General features: G+C 41.2%; 1 protein-coding gene across 43 annotated transcripts in view; it reads left to right on the plus strand.

The window, feature by feature from the left end:
* PACRGL (parkin coregulated like) overlaps positions 1-9,179 on the plus strand; it is a 71,092-nt gene that overhangs the window by 20,133 nt on the left and 41,780 nt on the right. For 20 of the 43 annotated variants that reach the window (NR_133933.2, XR_007096362.1, XR_925302.3 and 17 more), the window contains one exon: positions 8,394-8,474. The exons of the other annotated variants lie outside the window; for them this stretch is intronic. Coding sequence is in view for 12 of the 20 variants with exons in the window: in XM_047449617.1 (XP_047305573.1) it covers positions 8,394-8,474 (81 nt within the window). In the remaining 8 variants the exon portion in view is untranslated. The remainder of the gene's footprint in view (positions 1-8,393; positions 8,475-9,179) is intronic. 43 annotated transcript variants of the gene reach the window in all.

Genomic DNA, 9,179 nt, shown 5'->3' on the forward strand with positions numbered 1-9,179 from the left:
TGTATACGTGTGCCATGTTGGTGTGTTGAACCCAGTAACTCATCATTTACATTAGGTATATCTCCTAATGGTATCCCTCCCCCGACAGGCCCTGGTGTGTGATGTTCCCCTTCCTGTGTCCAAGTATTCTCATTGTTCAATTCCCACCTATGAGTGAGAACATGCCGTGTTTGGTTTTCTGTCCTTGAGCTAGTTTGCTGAGAATAATGGTTTCCAGCTTCATCCGTGTCCCTACAAAGGACATGAACTCATCCTTTTTTATGGCTGCATAGTATTCCATGGTGTATATGTGCCACATTTTCTTAATCCAGTCTATCATTGATGGACATTTGGGTTGGTTCCAAGTCTTTGCTATTGTGAATAGTGCCGCAATAAACATACATGTGCATGTGTCTTTATAGCAACATGTTTTATAATCCTTTGGGTATATACCCAGTAATGGGATGGCTGGGTCAAATGGTATTTCTAGTTCTAGATCCTTGAGGAATCGCCACACTGTCTTACACAATGGTTGAACTGGTTTACAGTCCCACCAACAGTGTAAAAGTGTTCCTATTCCTCCACATCCTCTCCAGCACCTGTTGTTTCCTGACTTTTTAATGATTGCCATTCTAACTGGTGTGAGATGGTATCTCATTGTGGTTTTGATTTGCATTTCTTAATGGCCAGTGATGATGAGCATTTTTTCATGTGTCTGTTGGCTGCATAAATGTCTTCTTTTGAGAAGTGTCTGTTCGTATCCTTCACCCACTTTTTGATGGGGTTGTTTGTTTTTTTCTTGTAAATTTGTTTGAGTTCTTTGTGGATTCTGGATATTAGCCCTTTGTCAGATGAGTAGATTGCAAAAATTTTTTCCCATTCTGTAGGTTGCCTGTTCACTCTGATGGTAGTTTCTTTTGCTGTGCAGAAGCTCTTTAGTTTAATTAGACACCAGTTGTCAATTTTGGCTTTTGTTGCCATTGCTTTTTGTGTTTTAGACATGAAGTCCTTGCCCATGCCTATGTCCTGAATGGTATTGCCTAGGTTTTCTTTTAGGGTTTTTATGGTTTTAGGTCTAACATTTAAGTCTTTAATCCATCTTGAATTAATTTTTGTATAAAGTGTAAGGAAGGGATCCAGTTTCAGCTTTCTCCATATGGCTAGCCAGTTTTCCCAGCACCATTTATTAAATAGGGAATCCTTTCCCCATTGCTTGTTTCTGTCAGGTTTGTCAAAGATCAGATGGTTGTAGATGTGTGGTATTATTTCTGAGGCCTCTGTTCTGTTCCATTGGTCAATATCTCTGTTTAGGTACCAGTACCATGCTGTTCTGGTTACTGTAGCCTTGTAGTATAGTTTGAAGTCAGGTAGTGTGATGCCTCCAGCTTTGTTCTTTTGGCTTAGGATTGTCTTGGCAATGTGGGCTCTTTTTTGTTTCCATATGAACTTTAAAGTAGTTCTTTTCCAATTCTGTGAAGAAAGTCATTGGTAGCTCGATGGGGATGGCATTGATTCTGTAAATTACCTTGGGCAGTATGGCCATTTTCACCATATTGATTCTTCCTATCCATGAGTATGGAATCTTCTTCCATTTGTTTGTGTCCTCTTTTATTTTGTTGAGCAGTGGTTTGTAGTTCTCCTTGAAGAGGTCCTTCACATCCCTTGTAAGTTGGATTCCTAGGTATTTTATTCTCTTTGAGGCAGTTGTGAATGGGAGTTCACTCATGATTTGGCTCTCTGTCTGTTATTGGTGTATAAGAATGCTTGTGATTTTTGCACATTGATTTTGTATCCTGAGACTTTGCTGAGTTGCTTATCAGCTTAAGGAGATTTTGGGCTGAGACGATGGGGTTTTCTAGATATACAATCATGTCATCTGCAAACGGGGACAATTTGACTTCCTCTTTTCGTAATTGAATACCCTTTATTTCTTTCTCCTGCCTGATTGCCCTGGCCAGAACTTCCAACACTATGTTGAATAGGAGTGGTGAGAGAGGGCATCCCTGTCTTGTGCCAGTTTTCAAAGGGAATGCTTCCAGTTTCTACCCATTCAGTATGATATTGGTTGTGGGTGTGTCATAAATAGCTCTTATTATTTTGAGATACGTCCCATCAATACCTAATCTATTGAGAGTTTTTAGCATGAAGGGTTGCTGATTTTGACAAAGTCCTTTTCTGCATCTATCGAGATAATCGTGGTTTTTGTCTTTGGTTCTGTTTATATGCTGGATTACATTTATTAATTTGCATATGTTGAACCAGCCTTGCATCCCAGGGATGAAGCTTATTCACTTGGTCATGGTGGATAAGCTTTTTGATGTGCTGCTGGATTCGGTTTGCCAGTAATTTATTGAGGATTTTTGCATTGATGTTCATCAGGGATATTGGTCTTAAATTCTTTTTTTTGTTGTGTCTCTGCCAGGTTTTGGTATCAGCATGATGCTGGCCTCATAAAATGAGTTAGGGAGGATTCCCTCTTTTTCTATTGATTGGAATAGTTTCAGAAGAATGGTACAAGCTCCTCCTTGTACCTCTGGTGGAATTCAGCTGTGAATCCATCTGGTCCTGGACTTTTTTTGGTTGGTAAGCTATTAACTATTGCCTCAATTTCCGAGCCTGTTATTGGTCTATTCAGAGATTCACCTTCTTCCTGGTTTAGTCTTGGGAGGGTGTATGTGTCCAGGAATTCATCCATTTCTGCAAGATTTTCTAGTTTATTTGCATAGAGGTGTTTATAGTATTCTCTGATGGTAGTTTGTATTTCTGTGGGATTGGTGGTGATATCCCTTGTATCATTTTTTATTGCGTCTATTTGATTCTTCTCTCTTTACTTTATTAGTCTTGCTAGCAGTCTATCAATTTTGTTGATCTTTTCAAAAAAACCAGCTCCTGGAGTCATTGATTTTTTGAAGGGTGTTTTGTGTCTCTATCTCCTTCAATTCTGCTCTGATCTTAGTTATTTCTTGACTTCTGCTAGCTTTTGAATGTGTTTGCTCTTGCTTCTCTAGTTCTTTTAATTGTGATGTTAGGGTATCAGTTTTAGATCTTTCCTGCTTTTCTCTTGTGGGCTTTTAGTGCTATAAATTTCCCTCTACACACTGCTTTAAATATGTCCCAGAGATTCTGGTACATTGTGTCTTTGTTCTCATTGGTTTCAAAGAACATCTTTATTTCTGCCTTCATTTCATTATGTATCCAGCAGTCATTCCGGAGCAGGTTGTTCAGTTTCCATGTAGTTGAGCGGTTTTGAGTGAGTTTCTTAATCCTGAGTTCTAGTTTGATTGCACTGTGGTCTGAGAGACAGTTTGTTATAATTTCTGTTCTTTTACATTTGCTGAGGAGTGCTTTACTTCCAACTATGTGGTCAATTTTGGAATAAGTGTGATGTGGTGCTGAGAAGAATGTATATTCTGTTGATTTGGGGTGGAGAGTTCTGTAGATGTCTATTAGGTCTGCTTGGTGCAGAGGTGAGTTCAATTCCTGGGTATCCTTGTTAACTTTCTGTCTCGTTGATCTGTCTAATGTTGACAGTGGGGTGTTAAAGTCTCCCATTATTATTGTGTGGGAGTCGAAATCTCTTTGTAGGTCACTCAGGACTTGCTTTATGAATCTGGGTGCTCCTGTATTGGGTGCATATATATTTAGGATAGTTAGCCCTTCTTGTTGAATTGATCCCTTTACCATTATGTAATGGCCTTCTTTGTCTCTTTTGATCTTTGTTGGTTTAAAGTCTTTTATCAGAGACTAGGATTGCAACTTCTGCCTTTTTTTTGTTTTCCATTTGCTTGGTAGATCTTCCTCCATCCTTTTATTTTGAGCCTATGTGTGTCTCTGCACATGAGATGGGTCTCCTGAATACAGCACACTGATGGGTCTCGACTCTTTATCCAATCTGCCAGTCTGTGTCTTTTAATTGGAGCATTTAGCCCATTTATATTTAAGGTTAGTATTGTTTTGTGTGAATCTGATCCTGTCATTATGATGTTAGCTGATTATTTTGCTCATTAGTTGATGCAGTTTCTTCCTAGCCTCGATGGTCTTTACAATTTGGCTTGTTTTTGCAGTGGCTGGTACAGGTTGTTCCTTTCCATGTTTAGTGTTTCCTTCAGGAGCTCTTGTAAGGCAGGCCTTGTGGTAACAAAATCAGCATTTGCTTGTCTGTAAAGGATTTTATTTGTCCTTCGCTTATGAAGCTTAGTTTGGCTGGATATGAAATTTTGGGTTGAAAATTCTTTTCTTTAAGGATGTTGAATATTGGCCCCACTCTCTTCTGGCTTGTAGAGTGTCTGCCACGAGTTCTGCTGTTAGTCTGATGGGCTTCCCTTTGTGGGTAACCCAGCCTTTCCTTCTGGCTGCCCTTAATATTTTTTCCTTCATTTCAACCTTGGTGAATCTGACAATTATGTGTCTTGGAGTTGCTCTTCTCAAGAAGTATCTTGGTGGCATTCTCTGTATTTCCTGAATTTCAATGTTGGCCTGCCTTGCTAAGTTGGGAAAGTTCTCCTGGATAATATCCTGCAGCGTGTTTTCCAACTTGGTTCCATTCTCCCTGTCACTTTCAGGTACACCAATCAGACGTAGATTTGGTCTTTTCACATAGTTCCATATTTCTTGGAGGCTTTGTTCCTTTCTTTTTACTCTTTTTTCTCTAAACTTCACTTCTCGCTTCATTTCATTCATTTGATCTTCAATCACTGATACCCTTTCTTCCACTCGATTGAGTCGGCTACTGAAGCTTGTGCATTCGTCATGTAGTTCTCGTGCCATGGTGTTCAGCTCCATCAGGTCATTTAAGGTCCTCTCTACACTGGTTATTCTAGTTAGCCATTCATCTAATCTTTTTTCAATGTTTTTAGCTTCTTTGCAATGGGTTCAAACTTCCTCCTTTTGCTCGCAAAAGTTTGATCGTCTGAAGCCTTCTTTTGTCACCTCGTCAAAGTCATTCTCCGTCCAGCTTAGTTCCGTTTCTGGTGAGGAGTTGTGTTCCTTTGGAGGGGGAGAGGCGCTTTGATTTTTAGAATTTTCAGGTTTTCTGCTCTGTTTTTTCCCCATCTTTGTGGTTTTATGTACCTTTGGTCTTTGATGATGGTGACGTACAAGTGGGGTTTTGGTGTGGATGTCCTTTCTGTTTGTTAGTTTTCCTTCTAACAGTTGGGACGCTCAGCTGCAGGTCTGTTGGAGTTTGCTGGAGGTCCACTCCAGACCCTGTTTGCCTGGGTATCAGCAGTGGAGGCTGCAGAACAGCGAATATTGCTGAACAGCAAATGTTGCTGCCTGATCGTTCCTCTGGAAGTTTCGTCTCAGAGGGGTACTCGGCCGTGTGAGGTGTCAGTCTGCCCCTACTGGGGGGTGCCTCTCAGTTAGGCTACTCACGGGTCAGGGACCCACTTGAGGAGGCAGTCTGTCCGTTCTCAGATCTCAAACTCCGTGCTGGGAGAACCACTACTCTCTTCAAAGCTGTCAGACAGGGACATTTAAGTCTGCAGAGGTTTCTGCTGCCTTTTGTTTGGCTATGCCCTGCCCCCAGAGGTGGAGTCTACAGAGGCAGGCAGGCCTCCTTGAGCTGTGGTGGGCTCCACCCAGTTTGAGCTTCCCAGCTGCTTTGTTTACCTGCTGAAACCTCAGCAATGGCGGGCGCCCCTCTCCCAGCCTTGCTGCCGCCTTGCAGTTCTATCCCAGACTGCTGTGCTAGCAATGAGCGAGGCTCCATGGGCATGGGACTCTCTGAGCCAGGCACAGGATATAATCTCCTGGTGTGCTGTTTGCTAAGACCATTGGAAAAGTGCAGTATTAAGTTGGGAGTGACTCGATATTCCAGGTGCCATCTGTCACAGCTTTGCTTGGCTAGGAAAGGGAATTCCCTGATCCCTTGCGCTTCCCGGGTGAGGCGATGCCTCGCCCTGCTTCGGCTCACACTTGGTGCGCTATACCCGCTGTCCTGCACCCACTGTCCAACAAGCCCCAGTGAGATGAACCCGGTACCTCAGTTGGAAATGCAGAAATCACCTGTGTTTTGCGTCACTCACGCTGGGAGCTGTAGACTGGAGCTCTTCCTATTCGGCCATCTTGGAACCGCCCCCTTCTTCATGCAGTGTTTACTTCTTCCAGCAACAATGTGTGGCAACGTGCATGGAGTATTGCCAACTAGAGAAGCTCATGTGAGCCTTAGTGTCCAGGGTTTTTATTGGTGTCTGTCATGCAGGCAAGACTGCCTGCCTGTGTGGTTGACTTTAGTCTACACCCTCTCTAGAAATCGAGCTAATACCCTGTGAACCAAAGTTCCCATCATAAATCACATTGTATAGACTACCTGGTGTCACCCGAAACTCCCATGTTGACAAGGATACCCTATCCAGGAGGACATTCCAAGAGCTTAGAGGTTATCATTCAAGAGCTAGGGGCAAGGGCCAAACTTTAGGCAAGGGAAGTTCTATACCGCATACTGATAGAAAAATTAAAGAGTTAGATAGGACCTCCCTGTCTGCATTCTTCTGTATTTCACAGCTGAGGTATGATTTTGATAATGGTTCCACTGTTTTTTCTTGGATACATCCATATGAGAGATCCTAGAACTGTATTTTTAACTTCCTATTCCACAACTAGGAACTACCTGTTCCAATACACCCTAGGAACTACCTGGTTAATGGTATAAGAAGTAGGTGCGATGGTGACTCTATCAGGATAGGTATGCTCATAGGTGGTAGATGAAATTCCGTGAGGTTTCAGGTGAGGAGAAGACATAGTGAGAATAGACTTTCAAGCCTTGACATATGAGGAGTCTTATGACAGAAGAAAGAGAATCTTGGCAGATATTTGTAAGCTTCATGTCAGGGGGTGTGGCTGACCAACTACAGGAATTTCACACTAGTATACAAAGTGACTCATTCAAATATTCAGTCGTTTAATAATAATCTCTTGCACTCTGCCCTCCTGTTTTGTGCCAGGTATGCCAAGCAGTGAGAATATAATCTGAGCAGAAACAGGCATGCTCTCAGTCCTTGTGGAGATTATTGGTTTTGGTTTTGGGTTTTTTTTGTTTTTTTGTTTTTGTTTTTGCAGGTGGGTGGGGGATGTAGAAATAAGCAGCAAGGACATCTGCTGAGAAAATTGGGATGGAGTCAAAGGGATGTGATATGTAGAGAAAAGGAATCACACTGGATCCTTCCTCAAAGTCAGTCAAGCAAGGCTTCCTAAATAGCCTCTAAGTCCCACCTCCGATGGCAGAAAGAAAAGACCAGATTAACAGTTGTATACATTTGTTTTGTTTTCTAATCTTTCTGGGTCAGTGGCGTTTATCTTTGGTCACTTGCATTCCTCCTCAGAGCTCTGCTTTTCCTAGACAAGGACTGACTGAACGGGTATCTAGCTTTCCTGGGCTGCCAGCACTTTGGGAAGACCTAGACACCACCCTGACCATCAGATCCTGGTGTTATATAAAGAGTTCTAGAAATAGGTTGTGTGAGGGTTAGTTCCTGGTCTATTACCACTAACTATGAGACAGACACCACTGAGGATGTCAATGAGGTGCTATCGGATCCCCTTCGTCCCTCACCCCCATCTTCCATACATTTCAGCCTCAAAGCCTTCATTTTTATGGGGTTTATAGACTTCTACATTAGAAGTTTATTGGAAGAAAGGGTATTATTCTTCTAGAAAAAGTTTTTCAAAACCAGTTACTGAACCCCTGTATACAACTCATTTTTTCCTCTATGCAAAATAAGCTATACCTTTTCTGAGCTGCAAATGTATGGGACTTTAAAGAGGGAATAAATCACCTGAAAATCTTGCTTAAAAATGTAGATTCTGGGCTTCTGCTCTGGGATTCTGGTTAAGTATGGCGTGAGACCCAAGAATCTGCATTTTTAAACAGCATCTCAAGTGATTCTGAGGCTGATGGCCCATGGATCTGCATGTAAACCTCTGTGCTATACAGAGTGTATACAGATTCAGTAGGGTAATGCAGTCTGAAGAAAGCAACTGGAAGACTAGAGAGGGACCCTGTCCATCCCCAGGGCATTCACTCTTATAAATTACTCATGTAAATCCTCCATCCTTTGTCTTCTCTTCCCTTTTTATTGCAGGAAAATGTGTGTTTTAGAGGCACAGCTTTCCATCATGGTCCTCAATGCTCTTGCAAATTACAGAATCACAAAATATGCTATTTTATAGAAACCTTACTTCAGATAGCATACTGAAGCAGATTTTATAGGATTGGTTTTACCTGAAATAATGTAAATTCATTGTTTTTTAAAACAAATACAGAGGTACCTTATACATGTAAATTTCAATGAGATGCTTCCTAAAAAAAGCCTTGAAATCTAAAACAAGGGGTGCTCCTGAAGATTTACTTATGCGTATGGTGAGCATTGTTAAGTTTAAAGTCATTTCGTTTCCCCCTAATCTTACTTTAAAAGCTTTCCAAGAGATTAATGGACAAGAAATTCAAAGAGCCAATCACCAGCGCATTACAAAAGCTAGAGCAACATGGTGGAAGTGTAAGTAGAATATTATTCCTTAAGTCTTTTTTTTTAACTTTTAGGTGTATTACTAAATTGACATATATATATATTTAACATATACTATCTCATTTCAGCCACAGGTAACTATGTGAAATTGATGCTGTTATTTTCCTTTTAGAACTCAAGAGTTTCTGTCTCTAGGTCACACTGTTCTCAAGCCCTGCGACTCAGACCAGACTCAGGTTGAATAAATATAGGGCTTGTGTACACTTTCACAGTGCTTAATGTGGCACTCAGTGTGGCGCAGTGGTACAGTTTTTTTCTTAAAAGTATTTTCAGTGGTTTAGTTTTGACCATCGAAAAGTTCAGAAAACCGAACGATTAACTTAGCTCTTTGAGGAAAAATACCTTTTTCTCTTTCATTTGCTGCCTTTTCTGACTCAGACGTCCAGATGATTACACTATTCTGTCTGTAAGTGCGTGCATACCCCCATAGGTGTACACACACACACACACACACACACGGACACATATGCACACACAGTGCTGGAATAGTTTAATTGGTTATTCTAACTTTTCAAGGTACAAAAATATGGAGGATTTCATAACTGTATGGTGTCAGATTACTAGACTAATTGAATTTTTAGCATTTGAAAGAAGCATTCAGATAATCTCGTCTTAGAAATATTTCCATAAAAGCAGTCCTTGCTTTTGGAAATTTTGTTTAATCAGATCTTAATG

The sequence above is a fragment of the Homo sapiens genome, chromosome 4 (genome assembly GCF_000001405.40).
Source record: "Homo sapiens chromosome 4, GRCh38.p14 Primary Assembly".
Taxonomy (NCBI): Eukaryota; Metazoa; Chordata; class Mammalia; order Primates; family Hominidae; genus Homo; species Homo sapiens.